Source organism: Homo sapiens, chromosome 14 (genome assembly GCF_000001405.40).
Source record: "Homo sapiens chromosome 14, GRCh38.p14 Primary Assembly".
NCBI lineage: Eukaryota > Metazoa > Chordata > Mammalia > Primates > Hominidae > Homo > Homo sapiens.
Genome location: NC_000014.9, coordinates 60312115 through 60332837, shown reverse-complemented (window position 1 = coordinate 60332837; position 20723 = coordinate 60312115). Strand labels below are relative to the sequence as shown.

The window sequence follows — 20723 nt, the reverse complement described above, 5'->3', positions numbered from 1 at the left end:
TCTCTTTCTTTTTCCGTCTCTCTTTCTTTCTTTCTTTTTCTTTCTTTCTCTCTCTCTCTTTCTTTCTTTCTTTTTCTTTTTTTATTTTTTTAAGACAGAGTCTCACCCTGTCACCCAGGCTGGAGTGCAGTGGCATGATCTCAGCTCACTGCAGCCTCACCTCCTGGGCTCAAGCGAGTCTCTCACCTCAGCCTCCCGAGTAGCTGGAACTACAGATGGACGCCACTACACCTGACTAATTTTTGTATTTTTTTTGTAGAGATGGGGTTTCACTATGTTGCCCAGCCTGGTCGTGAACTCCTGGGCTCAAGTGATCTGCCCACCTCGGCCTCCCAAATTGCTGGGATTACAGGTGTGAGCCACTGCACCAGGCCTTAATTTTTTTTTTCTTTTGGATACATACCCACTAGTGGAATTGCTCAATCATATGGTAATTCTGAAATGAGCTGTCTGTAAATGCATGGGTGGTATCTGAGTTCTCTATTCTGTTCCATTGATCTATGTGTCTGTTGTTATGCCAGTACAGTGGTTCTACATAAATTTTAAGAACGACAAAATAATTTGTTTTTTCTACTTGTATGAAGATTGTCATTGTATTTTGAGTTATTTTTAATGCCTTCTCATTTAAACTTCCTTCCCCTGCCAGCACACATAAACACAAATCTTTTGAAGTCATTTTATTATTAATGTGTCAATTTACAAATGAGAAACGGAGGCACAGGCAGCTGAAGTTACACAGGGGCTTATGGAGCTGGCTTTCAAACCCAGGCAATCTGACTTCAAAGCCCACCTTGAGTAGTGAACCTCAAGATGCCAACGAGCGATGCTGCCCCCTGCTGGAGAAAATAAGCTGTTGGCTCTAGCCCAAAGCAGCCTTGGATGGTACCAGCGGCTTCTCGGGTAGCCTGGCAAAAAAAACTCCGTTCCAAAGGGATTCTGTGTATTGGTGATATTTAATGATTCTGTTTGTATTTTCTTGAGGAAACTGTGAACGTAAAACAACCAGAAAGAAAGGAGTAGGGACAGAGGCAGTAAGGAAACAGTTTGAGGGGAAGCAAAGCAGAAAAAATAAGGCAGAGGGCGATGCAGTCAGAAGGCGGGATCTCCGGGGCCTGTGAGCTTCCGGCACGGGTGACAAAGCGGCCAAGTCCCCAGAGCAGCCCCTGAGACCTCACATCTGCTGTTGAACTTGCAACAGTGAGAAAAAGTCTTCTTCTTCTCCATTAGGCCTGGCTGGGAGATCCCTGAAATGGTTTTCTGGGTCTCCTCACCACACACCCGCCAGCCTGCACCGTGTAAACTTTCTATAATCCCCCCACATCTGAGATGGTCTGAACGCTTTCTTCTTTGCAGCCTGAAAGCCGAACACAATACCAGTTTGGTGTAGGTCTTGGGCAAATCCCTACTGCCCTTCTCTTCCCTGGGTCTCAGGTTTCTTTTCAGCATAAGGCAGTTTGGGTTCTCAAGCGAGGGCAGTACTGCCCCACTGAGGGCAGGTAGAGAGAGAGAGAGAGAGAGAGAGAGTGTGTGTGTGTGTGTGTGCGCTAGCGCGCGCACGTGCATGTCAGGGAGCAACGTTGGTTGTCACAAAGACTTGGAGGAGGGTGCCACTGGCATTTAGCACCCAAGAACCAGCGATGCTAAACATTCTGCCAATGCCATTAGCAACCCCGTGGAGAAACACTGGGTGATTAAGAGTATATACCATTGTTTCTTCATAAAAAATGTAAATAAATCCACTTTCAGTTTTGAAGTTCTGTTAAATGGGGCTCTTGGAGTAAAATGGTAGTGTATTAAAGGAAAGTGATAAATAGCTCATGATTTGTATGGAGCTTTTTAAACCGGGTTTTCAATTCTGTGTGATTTTCTAAAAAAACAGTTTTGCTGTGAGTAGATTTCTGGCATGTTTCTAATGCTTGTAAGCTCTGAAGATCTAAAGCCATGATCACATTAGACACAGATGTCCAGAGAGTGGACAGAGGGTGTCCCGCTGATAAAATTGTTTGGTAGAATTTTCCTGAGTTGTAGAAAAATAATTTTTTAAGTCATTGGTACCTGTTTTGATATGTCTGCTAGTGAGCGCTAATGGAACGTTGGGCAAAGGCAGACTGGAGCATACTTCGTGAAGGAGCCTTTCTCTAGGGCCAACCGCAGTGGACTTTTTTGGTCCCCCTGAATCATAGATGAATCTGCAACTTAAATTGTGGTCATCCCTTACCACTTAGGATATTTTTAATTTTTATTATTAATTTTATTATTTATTATTGTTATTCCTTGTGTTATTTTTGTTGTATCTCAGTACAATGTGACTTCATGTTTTTATTAACCCATTTTTAAAAACTTGCTTGCATCCTACTTTCTGTGAAATGATAGTCTGATAAACTACATATTTTTTCAAATATGTTTTAAAATATATGCATAACAATTTAAAAGTTTTAAAGTTCATCCATATGCTTACTACCCTAAATCATCTTGAGTAAGTGTAAACACAACCATAACTGTACACTGTAAAAATGATATGAGAGATTTTTAAAAACCAGGATCCTACATAGGCAACAGATGGCTTAAAAGAGAATGCAAAAATCCATGTTTGTAAAATGAGTGCACATGAGTTTATAATAGAGTTCATTGACTTAAGCACGAGTGTCAATTTGTGAGCTTGTATGTCTATGTGAGAGACAGAACAGTCAACTACACCTACTATTCATTGTGGCCTTATGTGGCATTCTTGTATGAACTTCCAAATACTCCTTAATGTAGTTGGGTGTGGTGGCTCACACCTGTAATCCCAGCACTTTGGGAGCCTGAGAGGGGGCAGATCACTTGAGGTCAGGAGTTCCAGACCAGCCTGGCCAACATGGTGAAACGCTGTCTCTACTAAAAATACAAAAATTAGCCAGGCGTGGTAGCAGAGGCCTGTAATCCCAGCTACTCAGGAGACTGAGGCAGGAGAATTGCTTGAGCCCAGGAGGTGGAGTTTGCAGTAATCACGACATTGCACTCCAGCCTTAATAAGCAATTGGTAAAATACTTACCCACTGTACCATAATAAATTACTATTGCTGTAGCCAAAAGCAAATAAATTTGAAAGGTAGGTTAGTTTCTTCTGGCTTATCTAAGGTGGATATACAATGACTTTCAGGCTTTGGAAATCATTGAAACATAGCTCTTGGATCCTGTGGCAGAGATAAGGGAATCATTCCAAAACCTGGCCACAGAATTGAAGCTGTGTAAGGAGGGAAGTGAGGACATGATGAGGGTGAGGGAGAATTTAAAAGGTGGTAGGGTTAACAGAACATGGTCCCAGGGAAGTTGAGTACCAGAGGCCCTGCATTTTCCATGTGACCTAAGGGTTCCCAGAAATGGAGACAGGAAGTCCATGTTTCTTAATGCCTCACAGTCAAACTCCTACTTTACACAAACCCACGTTACTGGGGAAAGGTTCGCATGTGGCCAAAGCACCCTCCACCAGATAAATGCATAAAAAAGGAATTAAAACTTTATTCTATTCTTTCAAACATAAGGGTTCCTCCATCAGGTATGCCTTTTTCTTGGCAATTACTGAATAATCACAATGATAGCTTCACATGTATGGAGGACCCTCAGTGTGTCAGAATTCTTGTTAAGTCAAAAGGAATAATTCTATTTACAGGAAACAAAGGCAGCCCATTGTCAGGCTGACACTGTCCACAGATTTTATCCATGTAGCTTGCTTCTTGCAAACTCCACGCAGGCAGGGATTCTTACCTGTTTTGTTCAGGTTCCAAGCACCTGGGCTTAGCACATAGAAGGCTCTTAAACATTTGTTAAATGAATGAATGAACCTCAACCTTTCTCACCTTCAGTGAAAAGCACTGCAAGGTGATTGAGGAGAAAATAAGGAAGCCTTAGTCCCTGACATTTGTTGAGAAAGGGGTCGAGGAGATGATGAGGGGTGGGGAGAGGAGGCTTTTCCCATGGAACTCTCCAACACTGCTGCAGAAAGCCAAGCACATGACATGCACCACACGACCCCTAGGTGGTGGTCCTTGCAGCCGATTTCAGAGACCATAGCCCCAAAAGTGCAGAGGGTTCCTCTGTTCCCTCTCCTTGGACAGTTCCCATTAGTCTGTCTGGCCTTACCTTTCTAAAGAAATTTGCCGCTTGAAAATCACAGTGATGTACGTTATTGAGTCCCCAGAACTCTCAATCCCCTCTGTTTTTGCCCATCCCAAGCCCAAACTGGCAAGCTCTCTTTCTGCCCGATCTTCCAGGAAGCTTCCCCAACTGCCACAGTCCTGTCCAATTTCACTGAATTTTATTATTTTCAATAGACATATTTTTTAAATGTCTCTCTAAAAGCGACTTAAGATTATTATGTAAGATTTTTATAAGATTATTAACTTTGTAAGATTTTGCCCATCTGAATCAATCTCCAAATCATAGAAAAAATGTTATTGACCTGATAATCGTGTTTCAATCCGGGGTTTGGAAAAGATGTTCACCACATGGAAATCATGGCTAAGACCCATTTCGCACAAAATGCACACTCAGGCATGGTTCAGTATCACGGTGCAGTGTGTGCGTGTCGGGTACCTCACCAGCCACACTTCGGCTTTGTAAAGGTGGGTTGGGGAGCCGAGTCCTCCCATCCTTTCACAGCCCCCGCAGGCCCTGGGTGAATGCTGGTCTAGTGAATTCACAGCTCCCGGGCAACTCCCAGCCGCGAGGCGGGGCGGCAGGGTGGAGGGAGCCACCCGCGGAGAGGCCTCGACCCCCACCCCAGCGAAGCCTAGGGCCGGGGAGCTGCACCTCGGCGCACCCCGCCTGGCGCCCTGAGCCCGCGTGGGCCCGGGCCGGGTTTGCGGGGAGGCAGCTCGGCTCCCGGAGGTCCTCCCGCAGGCGGCGCCCTCCGAGCCAGGCGCGAAGTGCACCCAGGCCCCGCAGCCCAGCGCCGCGTGGCCATCCAGAGGGATTTGTCAGCGCGCCCTATATAGCCGCAGACAGCTGCCATCTGTTATGTTTAGTAACACCACCACGCCGCTCCCCCTTCCTTGAGAATAAACCCGCCTTGGTCATTAAGCCACGAGGATATTTTTTTAACGACTCCCACTCCCTCTTGCAAGCAGTCTTAGCTCATCAGTCCGGGTCTGAGTCTTGAGCGCCCAATTCTGCTTCCTCACTGCGTCCTGGGCGCTCTCTGAGCTGGACGAGCCATCCACTGTGGGCTTGGGCCCCGGGCAGGTGCTTACAGGAAAAGGCGGAGACAGCGCCTCCCTCCATGGGTGCAGCGAGGAGAAAAATCCGTGGTGTGTGACCATTTTAATGCATCGCATTTCAGTTCTGCAAATGCAAAGTGTAAATTAGGCTAGAACATGATTGTGAATCAGACCAGACGTCATGATTAATTTATCACTGTGCTCCAGATACATCAGCTAAAATAATATGAATTTAAAGTAACGGTTCCTCCCGCCTTTGTGTTTGCTGGTGAACTCTAAAGAATAGATCACTAGAGAAATAAAGGAACTTAAGAGTCCACTCTATTCTCGTATTAGCGGAGCATGAACATAATTAAACATTCTCAATAAGGTTTCTTCCACCGTTTGAAATTAAATTTGCCCACCCACATTTTGTATCCGTCTGTGTAACACTCACTGATGCACCCTGAGCTGCTGATAAACATTGAGGCGGAGATTAGCTTTTTCATATTTCAGGTAACATTTATGATGCCTCAAGTTCTGGTTCCCAAACTGGCTGATTATCAAAATTGTCTAGGGCCTTGCCACTAAAAGTGTGGTCCATGAAGTAGCGGCACGGTATCACTTTTGAGATCGTTAGGAATGCAGAATCTCAGGCCCTACTCAGACCTGTTGATGGGAGTCTAAATTTTTTACAAGACCTGCCCTCACCACATCACCACCCCCATTAAAGTTTGAGAAGAATTGATGTAGTTTTTTAAAAACCACAAATACCTTTGCTCAGACATCTATATATGTTTAGTAAGCAGCCGAGTTGATTCTTATAAGTTGAGTTGTCAAGTTTGGAGGTCACTGGTCTTTGAGGCTCAAGGTTCAGATGACTTTTATGCTGATGACATGAACCAAATTTATTAAATCAGTGGAACTCTCTCTGAAAGTTTGGTACAGGTGAGTTTATCTGTTTAGTCATCCATGAATTACAAGAAAGCTTATTAATTATTTAGTTAAATAATGACACATTTAGTCCTCCAATTAGGAAAGCTCAACACTAGGAAGGAGGATTTTCTCCTTATGTAACTGGCTCATTCACTCCCAGACTGAGTGTAGGCATGAGGAAATCTTTTGCTTGGCCATCAAAGCCGCCCCCACCCCCTTCGAATGTTCTGACTTTCTTTATAACAGTACCTTTCATTCAGAAGAATACAAACATCCCTTGTGCTGCTGTTCAGTGATGTTGAGGGCTGTACTGGAGGACTGTGTCTAGTTCTGGACCTCACAATAAAAGAGGGATGTGGGGACCTTGGCAAAGGTTCAGAAGATATTTGTAAAGGTTATTTTTTAAATTCAGAATGAATCTTCACATTGTGTGGCATTATCTATAAAATGGACATGAAATGAACTTTGACTGTAGCTTGAGATTTTTACTTTAAGAGAAAAGCAATTGTAGAAATAAGTGGAGGAAGAAGAAAGAATGTCTCTTGAGCACAAGTTCTCACCTTGTGCATTAGTTACAATGACCTGGAGAAATTTTTTAAAACCCCAATGCCAGTTAAGTTGGGGGAGTCTTTGTGGTTGGGACCTGAGCATCAATAGTTTTTCAAGTACTCCAGGTGATTCCAATGCACAGCTCCTGAGCAGTGCTGCTGCAACTTTAATGTCATTGGCACCACCTGGGAAGTTTGTTAAAATGCAGATTGTGGCCGGTGCAGTGGCTCACACCTGTAATCCAAGCATTCTGGGAGGCCAAGATGGGCAGATCACTTGAGGCCAGGAGTCTGAGATCAGCCTGGACAACATGGCAAAAACCTGTCTCTACTAAAAATACAAAAAGTAGCTGGGTATGATGGTGCATGCCTATAATCCCAGCTACTTGGGAGGCTGAGACACCAGAATCACCTGAATTCAGGAGGTGGAAGTTGCAGTGAGCTGAGATTGTGCTACTGTACTCCAGCCTGAGAGAGCAAGACTGTGGGGCAAGAGATTCTGCAATTCTAAGAAGCATCTAAGTGAAGTCAAAGCCCTGGTTTTATGAACCAGGCTTTGAGTAGCAAAGGCTAGCGGGGTTTGAAAGTAAACTAAACTCTCTGCCAGGAAAAATCCATGATCTTATTTTCAGGCCATCTCAAAGTCTCCTATGGCTTTATGACACCTGTCAACATGCAAAAGAGATAACTCCAACCACCACATAAGCCAATGAAAAGAAAACCAAGCCAAGTGCGGGTGCAGTGGCTCATGCTTATAATCTCAGCACTTTGGGAGGCCAAAGTGGGAGGATTCTTGAGGACAGGCATTTGAGACCAGCCTGGGAATCATAGCAAGACCTCATGTCTTTAAAAAAAAAAAAAAAAAAAAGTTTAAATTAGCCAGGTGTGGTGGTGTGCACCTGTAGTCCCAGCTACTTGGGAGGCTGAGCCAGGAGGATCACTTGAGCCCAGCAGTTTGAGACTGCAGCTGCAGTGAGCTATGCACCACTGCGCTCCAGCCTGGGTAACAGAGTTAGATGCTGTCAAAAAAGAAAAGAAAAGAAGGAAAGGAAGGAAGGAAAGAAGGCAGGCAGGAAGGCAGGAAGAAAGAAAAAAGAAAGAAAGAAGGAAAGAAAGAATAAAAGAAAGAAAGAAAGGAAAAGAAAAGAAAAAAGAAAGAAAGGACAGAAAAGAAAAGAGACAGAAGAAAAGAAAAGAGAGAAAAGAAAAGAAAAAGAAAAAGCAAACCGGAAGCCAGGGTGAGGAACACTGCTTTGGATGAAAACATTTAACAATGAACAGTATCTCCTTGAATTGGAAAGTATTTATAGGAGAACTTAAAAGAGAGAACTTTTTCTGGACAACATTACCATCCCTATTCTCACAATTCCATTTCTTCAAGATAGCTTTAGTAGTAAACAGAGTTGTCATATGTGTAATGGGGCAGATGATCAAGTGCAGTGGCAGCTGGGGTGTAAGAGCTGCTATATCTATGCTAGTAACATTTGGTCCAAAGCTGAGCCAGCTCAGAACCTAGATGTTTCTCTGAATTCTGGAGATAGTGAGAACCAGCCACTTTGTCAAGAGATTCCATTCAGCTGTCAACATGATGGCACAAGTCGGTAAAGCAAAATTTAAAAATGTTTAAACTTGAAAATGTCCACAGTAATATTTATAGTTAGCCTAAATGAAAAGGCTTTACATGTACTATCTCATTTAATCCTTGCAATAATCTTATAGATAATTACTATTATTATCCCGATTTTACAAATAAGACAACAGAGCTCAGAGAAGGCAAGACACTTGCCCTACTTTGAAACTAAACTAGAAACTAGTGTTTCTAGAAACACTTTCTAGAAACTAGAAAGTGGCAGAGCCAGGATTGGAACCCATTCGTTTGATTCCAGAGTCCCCACATTAAGCTCAACAGTGTGATAACAAAGCTAGTTTGCCATTGGGGATTTTCTGTCAATATTCCTGCTGCTATAAGCAGTGTGTTCATGTTTTCCTTAGTGTTTGGTCTAAATATTTTTCAAAAGCAGTCTTTTAATTTTTTAATTAGCTTGGTTCCCCAACAATAAAGCTCTTTAAAGGTCAGATGTTAACTTAATCCTCTTTGGGTTATCGTTGAAAAAGATCAGCCGAATTGACCTTGACAAAACTGCCTCCAAGGCTTGGGGACAGACAGTCTCTTTGATATCAGTGAACATAGTTAACTGCTGTCATGGTAAGGGGCATTTTCTATGCCTTTGATAGCAGGCAGATTTGTTTTTCTTGACAAGACCCCGAGTAAAAAGACTTAATATCCATCTTTAATGTGAATCGAATCATGCCCTGCTGACATTAGATCCTCAGCCCCAGGGAACACCAGGCTGGCTGCTGAGGGGCTGCATTAGGCCGATTCAATGGCCAAGAGCATGACAGGAGCCGAATTGCACGGCCAGCAAGGGCGGGCTCATCACATGCTCATCTGCCAGCCTGCACCGCAGAGCCAACCCAATGAAAAAGACAGCCAGGTCCGTGGTTCACATGCTCTTCCGTGAGGACAGCCAGGACTGCCAAGGCAGCAACCTAAACCGCAGTTTGCCTGAGAACAGAAATGTATCAGCTTTGAGTCAACACTGTAACAAATAGCTTTATACATAAAAAACACAAAAAGGCATTGCCGCCCAGGGCCTGTGCTGAGACAAAGATGAAGGTGTGCAGAACCAACCTCAGGGGAAATGCTGAGGCGAAGGACACTCAGTGATTGATGTCTGTGCCTGCCGCCTCCTGTCCAAGGGGCTACGGCAGTAACAGCCATGACCCCACCCCTCAGCCTGGCTCCCATTGGCTGGGTATACACATGACTACAGCAGAGCCAGTCAGAGCCCTTCCCTGGAATTTTAAAAACTGGAAGTGAAAAAAGGAATCTGTCTTACCAGTGGCAAGGGTGAAGGGATTGAGGCTTGGGAGCCGTCAGCAGCCATTTTCCCTCCCATGTGGAAGAAGCTGATCTGGACAGTGCTGCAGAAAGGAAGGACAGGGAGAGTAGGGAGAGCATTCAGATGCCCGGCTCCAGTTGTTTCTGAGGCCCAGCCACATTCCTGACCAGCCACAATTTAGTTGTTCAGCCTTAGATACTCCAAACTAATAAATTCCCCCTTTACCTAACCTAGTTTGAATTAAATTTCTATCACTTGTAACCAAGAAAGTCGTACAGAGGAAGTGGGTGTAATTTTATTTTAGCCCCTCCCACTTCATATTTAGTATTCTCTCCTCTAAAGTGGACAAGTAGTACTTTTTTACAGGGGACACTTTTCTCCCATTTTAAAAACTGACCCATGATGGTCCCTCTCCTTAGGATCTGGGCCCTGGCTTTCTGTCACGTGGCTTTAAGAAAAAGCGATGAATTAAAAAAATGCTTCTTCGGGGAAAATCTGCATTTTTTCATAACAGTGGAAAAATAAATGCATTTCAACTCAATAAGTCGGAGACAGAGTTGGTCTTCTAGCTGTTGCTTGAATGACATCAGTGTTGATCCTAGAGGTACAGGAATGAAAGAGTGGGCATTTATTGAACGTTCGTTGTGTGCCTGACAATGTGTGAGGCACAGTTTCCAAAATACTGATTTTCATTAATTTTCACAATCACAGTTTGATAAGAATGTAGTTGAGAAATACTATGATTTTAACTATTTTCTAATTCTTTTATTTGTATCCTTTCTGCTACCATTCAAACATCCATGGAGAGTTTCTACGTGCCCTCTCTTTAGGGCACCACTAATATGCCTAGAAGAAAGAAGAAAATTCTTGGTGTTTGAGTTCAACAGTAGACTTTAAAAATCTATAGTAGATTAAGCTGATTTTCACAGACAGGAGCTTTTTTTTAAATTCTGAAAACTTGTTTCTAAATACTAAGGGCAAAGAGAACCTGGATCCCAACTTTATACTATTAATATAAACCAGAGGTCAGCAAACTACAATCTTTGGAGGTAAAGTTTTTTTGTAATTAAGTTTTACTGAAGCACAGCCATATCCATTTGGTTACCCATTGTCTATAGTTACTTTTGCACTTAGAACAGTGGGCTGAGTAGTTGCAACAGAGACCATATAGCCTGCAAAGCCTAAAATATTTGCTGTTTGGCACTTTTCAGAATTTGTGACCTCTGCATAGGGATGAAGAACACAAGAAGAGAAGGGAGATGTTTTGTCTCCCTAAAGGAAATAAGCATTTGACCTGCAGCAGATAGAGAGAAATGTAAGAATGGGTGACTAGAGCTTAGAGTTTTCTGGGCTCTAGAGAATGGGTGCAGAGACCACCATACTGAGCTAAGTCAAAGAGAGGGAGTGGGAAATAGAAACCACAGATTAATTTGAAGGGAATTAGAGAGTGAGGGAACTTTAGCTTGGAGGCAACCAGACAGAAGGGTCTGAGACCTCAATGCAGAGTAGTCTGAAACTTCAATACAGAGTAGTCTGCAGGAGTATCCAGAAGCTTTTTTTGTTCCCTGCAAAGTGCCAAAGGTGACTAAAAGGGCCAGCAGACTGAATGAAGTCTCTTAGTTATATGACATGTCAATGCCATCAACAAATAGGCTAGACCATACATGTCAGAGATCCCAGCTGGCCCAAGGACATCAGCAGAGATAGAACCAGCATCCAAATGCCTACAAGAACAGAGGATGTCACATGTCCCAGAAGCTAAACCCTTAATGCCAGGGCAATTCTTGGAGCCCGTATTTCACCCTCAGAACTTAGATTACCTTAGAGAGAAGGAAATAGAAGACAGGATCATTCACTAAGTGGTTTCCAAAAAGTGTTGAGTGAGCTGCTTGGAGGGTTTATATCTATCTTACTGTTAACTGTGTGTTTTAAATATCCCTTAGAAGTTCTGCCCCAATGAAGTGTCATCAGCATTAAGACTATAATACTGGTGTCTGAGACAGCACTGTCCAGTAGAACTTTCAGCTATAATGGAAATGTTTTGTATTAGTCTGTTCCCGCATTGCTCTAAAGAAATACCTGAGACTGGGTGATTTATAAAGAAAAGAGGTTTAATTGGCTCATGGTTCTGCAGGCTGTATAGGAAACATAGTGGCTTCTGCTTCTGGGAGACCTTGGGAAACTTACAATCATGGCAGAAAGCAAAGGGGAAGTGGGCACGTCTTACATGGCTGGAGAAGTGGAAGGGGAGCTGCTATACACTTTTAAGTGATCAGATCTAATGAGAATTCACTCACTATCAGAAGAACAGCACCAAGGGGGAAATCTGCCCCCATAATCCAATCACCTCCCACCAGGCCCTACCTCCAACACTGAGGATTACAATTCAACATGAGATTTGGGCAGGGACACCGATCCAAATGATATCATTCTGCCCCAGCCCCTCCCAAATCTCATGTCATTCTCACATTGCAAAATACAATCATCCCTTCCCGACAGTCCCCAAAGTCTTAACTCATTCTAGCATTAACTAAAATTTCCAAAGTCCAAAGTCTCACCTAAGACAAGGCTAGCCCTTCTGCCTATGAGCCTATAAAATCAAAAACAAGTTAGTTACTTCCAGAATACAATGGGGTATAGGTATTGGGTAAATACTCCCATTCAAAAAGGGAGAAATTGGCCAAAACAAGGCCCCATGCAAGTATAAAACCCAGCAGGGCAGTCATTAAACCTTAAAGCAACAAAATAATCTCCTTTGACTCCATGTCCCATATCCAGGACACACTGGTACAGGGGGTGGGCTCCCAAAGCTTTGGGCTTTGCAGGGTTCAGCCCCCATGGCTGCTCTCACAGGCTGGTGTTGACTGCCAGAGACTTTTTAGGCTGAGGGTGCAAGTTGTCAGTGGCTCTATCATTGTGGGGTCTGGAGGAGGGTGGCCCTCTTCTCAAAGTTCCACTAGGCAGTGCCCTCAGTGGAGACTCTGTGTGGGGGCATGAACCCCACATTTCCCCTCCACACTGCCCTAGTTGAGGTTCTCCATGAGGACTCCACCCCTGCAGCAGGCTTCTATCTGGACATCAAGGCTTTCCCATACATCCTCTGAAATCTAGGTGGAGGCTCTCAAGCCTCAACTCTTGCATTCTGTGCACCTGCAGGGTTAACACCATGTGGAAGCCACCAAGGCTTATGGCTTGCACCCTCTGAAGCAGTGGCCTGAGCTGTACCTGGGCCCCTTTTAGCCATGGCTACAGCTGAAGTGGCTGGGATGCAGGGAGCAGTGTACTGAGGCTGTGCAGAGCAGCAGAGTCCTGGTTGTGGCCAGGGCTTGTGATGGGAGAGGCTGTTGAGAAGTTATTTGAAATGCCTTCAAGGCCTTTCCCCCATAGTCTTGGCTATCATCACTTGGATCCTCATTACTTACACAAATTTCTGCAGCCTGCTTGAATTCTTCCCCTGAAAATGGGCTTTTCTTTTCTACCACATGGCTGGGCTGCAAATTTTTTTTTTAAACTTTTAGGCTCTGTTTCATCTTTAAATATAAGTTCCAGTTTTAGGTCATTTATTTCCTCACACATATGACAGCATAGGCTGTTAAAAGCAGCAAGGCTACATCTTGAATGCTTTGCTGGTTAGACATTTCTTTAGCCAGGTACCCTAAATCACGACTCACAAGTCCAAAGTTCCACAGATCCTTAGGCCAGGGGCACAATGCCTCCAAGTTCTTTGCTAATGCATAACAAAAGTGATCTTTACTGTAGTTCCCAATAAGTTCTTCATCTGCATCTGAAGCCTCCTCAGCCTGGGCTTCATTGTCCATATCACTACCAGCATTTCAGTCATAACAATTCAACAAGTCTCTAGGAATTTCCAAACTTTTCATCATCTTCCTGTCTTCTTCTGAGCCCTCCACACTCTTCCAATCTCTGCCCACTCCCCAGTTCCAAAATCCCTTCTGCATTTTTGGGTATCTTTATAGCAGTACCCCACTCTCAGTACCAATTTTCTGCATTAGTCTGTTCTTGCATCACTATAAAGAAATACCTGAGACTGGGTAATTTATAAAGATAAGAGGTTTAATTGGCTCATGCTCCTGCAGGCTCTACAGGAAGCATAGCAGCTTCTGCTTCTGGGAAGCCTCAGGAAGCTTACAATCATGGCAGAAAGTGGAGGGGAAGCAGGCACGTCTTAACATGGCCAGACAAGTAGGGGGGCCAGGGAGGTGCTACACAGTTTTAAACAACCAGATCTCATGAGAACTTACTCATTGTCAGGAGAAGCAAGAGGGAAATTAGCACCAAGAGGGAAATCTGCTCCGAGATCCAATCACCTCCCACCAGGTCCCACCTCCAACACTGGGGATTACAAGGGATCAACATGAGATTTGGGCTAGGACACAGATCCAAACCATACCATGTCTATATCTGCACTGTTCAGTATGAGAGCTGCAAGCCACATGTGGCTACTGAGCACCTGAAGTACAAGTAGTGCAACTGAGGAATTAAACTTTATTTTTTTTGAGACAGAGTCTCGCTCTGTTGCCCAGGCTGGAGTGCAGTAGCACAATCTCGGCTCACTGCAAGCTCTGCCTCCCAGGTTCACGCCATTCTCCTGCATCAGCCTCCCAAGTAGCTGGGGCTACAGGCGCCCGCCACCACAACTGGCTAATTTTTGTATTTTTAGTAGAGACAGGGTTTCACCTTGTTAGCCAGGATGATCTCGATTTCCTGACCTCGTGATCTGTCCGCCTTGGCCTCCCAAAGTGCTGGGATTACAGGCATGAGCCACCGTGCCCGGCCTAAACTTCTAATTTTATCTGATGTTCATTCATTTTAATTATAATTTAAATAGCCACAGTGCAGTCCTGAGAGATCAGATTATTTTCCAAGTACAAAATATACTAATTTCACTTCAAAATTAAAAGGAGTAACTGAAGAAGTCTAGTTTAAGGGATAGTGGACATCATGACTTCTGTTTTCTAGTGCCCTCAGTTATTGTCTCTGGAGTAAATTCTTGGAGTGTTCTGGTATGTTTTCAGACATAATACAGATCAGAGGACCCAACTGAAGAAGCAAAACACAGATTGACTTGAGGATGCCTCAAGAGCTTTTATTTTGATCATCACAGTTCATCTGGTGCTGTTATGGGAAGATGGACAAAGAGATCTTTGAGATCAGGAAAAACACAGATCAAAAAAAGAAAACCAAGGTAAGGAGCAGAAGGTGGGAGTGCAAGACTGGGGTGGGATAGAGGGAGATTAAAAGTACTTGCTCTATAACATCCTTCCGTTTCCTAGTCCTCTCAAATCCCCTCTGAGCCAGTCTCCCACACCCAGCTGTATTTGGCCTGCCTTCATCCCTTCTTTCCTCCCTCATTCAAGCCTATAATTACGGACACCAGGTGCATTGCTTCCACTCTTCTCTTGTGACTTTATCATTCACCAAGCTGTGAATGGTAATTTGCCAACCTCCATCGAAGTTTCTTTTTAAAAGCAGGATATGCTTGGTGTAATGTTACATCACTAAGAAGCCTGAGACAATAGAAAAGGAAATGGAATTTACCTAAGGAACAAAAGTGTCTGCAGCTCACTTCTCTGCAGCCCTAGATTACAGTGTAGAATTGGTTGCAGGGCTCTGGGGGAACAGAGGCCGTGCCCAGAACAGGGAAGGGGCTTCCTGCAGAAGCAGCCCATGGGGTAGGTGTTTAGTAGCCATAAGTGGGGCTTATATATTATATGCCAAATAGAGATTAGGGTAAGGAAGCAAAAGACTGTAATTCATCCATTCAACAGATTGTAACTGGGGACCATGGAGTGGTTAAGGCAGACTTTCTGGGTTCAAATCCTGCCTTAACCAGTTAGTGATGGCACACCCTTGGGCAGGTCATGCACCTTCTCTGAGCCTCAGTTTTTCATCTAAGTAATGCTGATGACAATGATGATGCCTACATCATGGTGTTATTTTGAAGATTTAAATGAGATGCTACACGGGAAGCACTTAGTGTGGTACCTAGCATGGGGTAAACACAGAGTGCCAGCCATGTGGTAGTATTAGTTTTATTTCCTTTGCTTAGCCCTATGCAAAGTGGCTGTGGGAGAGAGTAGCCACGTTCTTCTGGGCATATTCCTCTAAGCCTGTTATGTTCTAAGTCTTGAAAAGAATGATGCACCTGAGGCTGGTTTTACATGTCTCTTGTGTCTACGGGCCTCCATGCAAGTCTCTAGCCTTCAGAACATGCACTGAAAAAGACTGCTTCCTCCTTTCTCATCCTTACCAAGCTCAGGAAACCTACTGGCCTGAATTGAGAGGTTAGAAGGGCCCCTCCGGTGAATTAAAAGGGACGAAAAGGGAGTCATTAGTAAATAACTTTCATCTTGGATGACAGAGAGATGAACAAATTACGTGGTGACTCTAACACAGGGAGCCCTAAGCTCTGTGTGTTCAGGTGGGCACAGAAGTCAGCCAGAGCAGCAACAAATCCCAAGTTCCCCTGGCAGGGGAGGGTGTCCTGTCCTTTTGAGGTCAATGCATTTTCTAAGCAGCCAAGTCTGGAGTATTTAGCAACCCTGTTTTAGAAATCAAGTTTCCCTGCCACCCCTCCCCACCAGCTCTTCTGTGGCCTCCACTGGCTTTGAAGATTTGGTGGGAATGCTAGTTCCCTGGCCATGTTCCTTTCTCTCTCAGAGAAGGGGCTCAAGCCAAGAATTAGGAATAAAGTGGAGTGGCAATGTGGGGCCCCTGGGAAGGAGAGGGGCCGTGAAGGAGGATCAGATGCCTTCCCTCAGATAAGGAGTATGATGCTCAGCCACAAGCCCCTTCCCTGACCAGCCTCTGCAGTGGCTGAAAACAGCACCCCTCCTCCATTAACAAAATAAACAATCAGCCATGGTTTGCAAGTTAGAAGTTAAACCAAATTTAGTCACAAGGATACAATTCATATTCACATCCTTTGAAGTGAACTCTCCTGGCCAGTAGGAAGCAATTCCTGAGGACGGCCACCTCTGTCTAGCTCCTGCCTCCATCAGGGCTCTAAGCAGCATTGCTGGTGGGCCTGGTGGGCTGGTGGGCTGGCTTCTGTGCTCCTTAAAGGCTGAGAACCTGCCTGGATATATTTCAAAGGTGATTTTTCAAAAGTCATGGTGATCTTTTTTGCAGTGAAAAGATTAACTGGCCAATTGGACGTTGAGACCCAAATGAACTTTAGGAGCAGTGTCTGGTGTGCTGCATGAAATATTCCTTGCTATTCATTCAACTTGACTCACACGTATCTGGGGGGAATCACAATGTCTAAGAACAGAGGGTCACCCTGCCTGCAAAGCAGTGGGCGGGGGCCTCAACATGAGCCCCCCTGCTGCTCACAGTAATCACAAGGCCAGCTCTATAGGGGCTGGGGACAAAGAAAACAAAGCCATTTGCTGTTCAGGAAAAAGCTCAAGCAACCACTGTGGTTTATGGCTTTGAAGAAGTTGAAGGTGCCAGAAAGAAGCCAGCAAGAGTTCATCTGAATCCACAAATCCCAAGACTGCCATGTGAATCGGGCCCTGTTAAAGTATGGTGCCAGCTGGTTTTGCTGACACACCAAAGGACTGAGGGCACTGGAGATGTGAAACCACTCAAAGCTTCCCCAAGTTCTTGTTCCCAGGAAGAGAGGAGGAGTCCCACGTTGCGCTTCCCAAGGCTGCTCAGGGCAGCCTTCGGGGAATAGTTAAGAACTGTTTGGAATGACAGCAGCCCCTCTGGACCTTTCCCCTGCCTTGCTCTCCCTAACTTTACAAAAGCATTTGAATCACTACAGACTGGCTGTGCCATTTGCCAACGCTTCTTGATTCAGCATAACTGGGTGGGACTCAAGAATATGCCTGGGAGGCTCTGGGATGGGGGTTTATCTTCTGTCTCCATAGTAACAACTATCACTTACTGCGCACTCACTGTGTAACAGGCCCTGAGTTAAGCAATTGACCTGCATGTTTAACTCAGGTGGGAACTAACATTCCACATCTGCTTGCTCTGCCATTCTTCCACCCTGCCGTTCATTCTCTGGCTTGTCTCCTAGCTGTACAGCATCTATCACCATTCCTCAATGACATGACAGAAATCAAGTCTTTCCCATATCTTTATCTCCTAAAAAGATTAGCTCAGGGACTCGTGTGTACTGTTGAAAATGTTAAGTAAAATCTTCCACTTTTGTACTGGATGTGGGATACCGAGCACCTGCCACACTCACAGCCTCTTTTGGTGGCCTGGATGGATGATCTTGCTTTATCCCACATGACCTTGCTGCCCTATGTCACAGGTTGGCACCTGAGTCTAAGGTAGCCGTCTCACTGGCTGGCCCAACAAGCACACTTGCTAATGGATGTTGACTAGCCAGCTGATCAGATCTCATCTCTTGGGGAATTTGGTTAAAGATCCATGGAGGGAATCCATCAGTTGGTGGCAGCAAAATAGTAGAATTAAGTCACAAACACAGTGGAATCTTGAAAGTGAGCAGCAACAGATGCCCACGTGTAAGAGACTAGGCTGTTATATCCTTGAATGATATAACCCCAAGGCTTTCTTTGTCTAGCTAAAATTACATACAATATTCAGAAACACATTTATTCTTCTAACCATCATCCGAATGTATAAGTACTGTAAAATAGTTTGAGAACAAAACCAAAATGAAAAACAGCCAAACTGCTAGTTCTTAGTTGAGCCCATTGTTTTGAAATTCAGGATAAGACCAAGCACTCTCCATGGCCTGAATCCTCCTTCTCCCCAACCCCTCTTCCTTATCTACCTCCATCCTCCATGGTCCCCATTGCTGAGTGTGGAATGGGATCTCTGATGACTATATCTTTTTATTTTTATTCTTATTGTTTCTTAAGACAGGGTCATGCTTTGTCACCCAGGCTGGAGTGCGGTGGCACAATCATAGCTCACTATAACCTTGACTTCCTGGGCTCAAGTGATCCTCCTGCCTTAGCCTCCTGAATAGCTGTGGCTACAGGTGTGCATCACCATGCCTGGCTAATTTTTTAAATTATCATTTTTGTAGAGATGGGGATCACTATGTTGCCTAGGCTGGCCTCAAACTCTTGGCCTCAAGTGATCCTCCCACCTTGGTCTCCCAGAGTGCTGGGATTACAGGCATGAGCCACTGTGCCTGGCCCACAATGTCTAGACTGTAATCCCCTGTTTTGTTTTCTAGATGGGCTGTTGGCTGAGAAATCAAGGTCTTTTTGGAGAAGTTGTATCTCTAGTTGCTTGGAGAGGAGCATGTGGTCTGTCTACTACTATGCAGTGCCAAACGATAGATACGTTCCAATATGTAAGTATTTTTTTTTTACTCCTACTAATTTTTTTCCAAAATATCTTTTTCTATTCTCACTATAGTTTACTTATCCCAAGTTAATGGGAAGTTGAGTATACTCAGTGAATCCACATATATTCATATATAGCTATGTAAGATGGAAACGTGTTTACCTGACAGGCATTGTCAACAAATGTGACATGACAATGAACAATAATGACTATATTCTAAAAAATAAGTCTTAGGTTCAGCTTATAACATGAACAGCCTGTATAAAATTTTCCTTTTCCAAATCATTGCAGATTTGAGGACATCCATCCAGGGTGCAGTTAGAAAAAATAAAATGTCATTGAGCTTCTAAAATTATATGTTTATATAAATGTTGCCTGGAAGACACAGTGGTTCCTAAAAGTTTCTGATCACAGATTGGTGCCTTCTGGAGGGCAGCCTTCAGAAATCCCTGGTGGTCCCAGGTGGGCTAGGACTTAAAGGTGTGGTGTTGTTGAGAAACAAGGGACTTTTGATGCCACTCGGGATGGAGTATCAGGGACCAGATTAACTCTTCCACATGAAGCAACTAAGGAAACACACAAATTCTATGAAACACAGGTTTTCAAGACATTGCACAATCAGGCAGCGAGGCACAGGGATGCCTTTGAGAAAGGAAGTGTAAGCCTGATGAGCGCTTTGCTTTCCTGCCTGGGGAGATGTTCCAGGCGACAACGGCACAGCGGGAGGGAAACAGATAAAGCCTAGTGGTTTGTTGAACAGAGAGACTTGTGGGTCCAGGGAAGGCAAGGCCACTCAAGTTCTCAAAACAGAGTCCCTGAGAAAGCTGAAGAGGGAAAGAGCTGTGGAAATCTGCAGAGGTTCCTCCAAGTCTTCAGCTGAGTTCCGATCAGTATCACAGGAAACTACTTAAGCCTGGGATAGAACCACCCAATGCCGGGTAATGATGGAAACATGCTTCAAGTGACTTCGGTTTAACTGGGGGAATTTAAACAGTATCACTCTCTATTTGGTGAGGAAAGAAGACCAGTTAATGATAAAACTCTCTTTTGCACTGGCTGCTAGAAAGACTGAAGCCAAACGAAGCTCGCGTGACATGCATTTTCTATTCCACCCTTATTTCAGGCTTAATCTTACTTTTGCTATCCTTGCTTCCCTTAATTCTAGTCCTCTCTCTTAACAAAATTACTAGATTGTATATATTTGAAAAGTACTTTCTAGAATAAGGTGTAAACAAAGAGTAAAATCAGGACTCGTTTTAGGAAGAGAAATTCCAGTTTTGACTTTGGAAAAGCCAATGAGATAAAGATTAGGAATGGAAATTTGTCTAAACCTCTCAGAATTGATGAAAAATAGTAAAAATCTACAAGATGTAAAAAATAGGATAAAATGCCTACCAGGAGAGGAAGATTAATGTTCTCTCGGAGATAAAATGCTTTCAGTAGTACATTACCAACATCCGCGCTATTCTCCAGGGCTCATTGCCCAGACTCAAAGCCAAAGACAGAGTGGGGTAGACGGAGACAGGAAATTAGGATGGGTGAAGCTCAGAGATGGAGTAGGAGTCAGAATGGGAAGGCAGTGATAAACATTATTAGTGATAAACAAAATTATCTGGAATGAGGACCAACATCAGGTTGAGGTTCAGGATAGGGGAAGCCCGGGATGAGTGAAAATATGTTAGGCACATTTGTTAATTTTCAAAAAGCTAAAAGTGGGCAGGGCATGGTGGCTCACATCTGTAATTCCAGCACTTTGGGAGGCTGAGGCTGAGGCAGGGGGATCACTCGGGCTCAGGAGTTTGACATCAGCCTAGGCAACATTGACCCCATCTCTACAAAAAATAACAAAAATTAGCCAG

General features: G+C 44.1%; 1 long non-coding RNA gene across 1 annotated transcript, besides 8 other annotated features; it reads right to left on the bottom strand.

Annotated features, from left to right (window-relative positions):
* Positions 913-982: an enhancer, noted in NCBI's record as "active region_8478". NCBI's record gives its function as "activates an Ori minimal core promoter by ATAC-STARR-seq in GM12878 lymphoblastoid cells {active_cell/tissue: GM12878}" and the evidence as "EXISTENCE:reporter gene assay evidence [ECO:0000049][PMID:35858748]".
* Positions 1003-1242: an enhancer, noted in NCBI's record as "active region_8477". NCBI's record gives its function as "activates an Ori minimal core promoter by ATAC-STARR-seq in GM12878 lymphoblastoid cells {active_cell/tissue: GM12878}" and the evidence as "EXISTENCE:reporter gene assay evidence [ECO:0000049][PMID:35858748]".
* Positions 4610-4919: a silencer, noted in NCBI's record as "silent region_5811". NCBI's record gives its function as "represses an Ori minimal core promoter by ATAC-STARR-seq in GM12878 lymphoblastoid cells {active_cell/tissue: GM12878}" and the evidence as "EXISTENCE:reporter gene assay evidence [ECO:0000049][PMID:35858748]".
* Positions 5030-5089: an enhancer, noted in NCBI's record as "active region_8476". NCBI's record gives its function as "activates an Ori minimal core promoter by ATAC-STARR-seq in GM12878 lymphoblastoid cells {active_cell/tissue: GM12878}" and the evidence as "EXISTENCE:reporter gene assay evidence [ECO:0000049][PMID:35858748]".
* On the bottom strand, positions 8931-9642 carry LINC02322 (long intergenic non-protein coding RNA 2322). The gene is made up of 2 exons (NR_146481.1): positions 9562-9642; positions 8931-9227 (listed from the first exon to the last, which is right to left on the bottom strand). It is a non-coding gene; the product is annotated as a long intergenic non-protein coding RNA 2322 (long non-coding RNA).
* Positions 13647-14191: an enhancer, noted in NCBI's record as "NANOG-H3K27ac-H3K4me1 hESC enhancer chr14:60785365-60785909 (GRCh37/hg19 assembly coordinates)". NCBI's record gives its function as "activates a minimal SCP1, AML or CMV promoter by ChIP-STARR-seq in naive and primed H9 embryonic stem cells {active_cell/tissue: H9 hESC(naive and primed)}" and the evidence as "EXISTENCE:reporter gene assay evidence [ECO:0000049][PMID:30033119]".
* Positions 15626-16505: an enhancer, noted in NCBI's record as "NANOG-H3K27ac-H3K4me1 hESC enhancer chr14:60783051-60783930 (GRCh37/hg19 assembly coordinates)". NCBI's record gives its function as "activates a minimal SCP1, AML or CMV promoter by ChIP-STARR-seq in naive and primed H9 embryonic stem cells {active_cell/tissue: H9 hESC(naive and primed)}" and the evidence as "EXISTENCE:reporter gene assay evidence [ECO:0000049][PMID:30033119]".
* Positions 16506-17385: an enhancer, noted in NCBI's record as "NANOG-H3K27ac-H3K4me1 hESC enhancer chr14:60782171-60783050 (GRCh37/hg19 assembly coordinates)". NCBI's record gives its function as "activates a minimal SCP1, AML or CMV promoter by ChIP-STARR-seq in naive H9 embryonic stem cells {active_cell/tissue: H9 hESC(naive)}" and the evidence as "EXISTENCE:reporter gene assay evidence [ECO:0000049][PMID:30033119]".
* Positions 16793-17087: a silencer, noted in NCBI's record as "tiled region #902; HepG2 Repressive non-DNase unmatched - State 21:Repr". NCBI's record gives its function as "represses a minimal TATA promoter and a strong SV40 promoter by Sharpr-MPRA in HepG2 cells {active_cell/tissue: HepG2}" and the evidence as "EXISTENCE:reporter gene assay evidence [ECO:0000049][PMID:27701403]".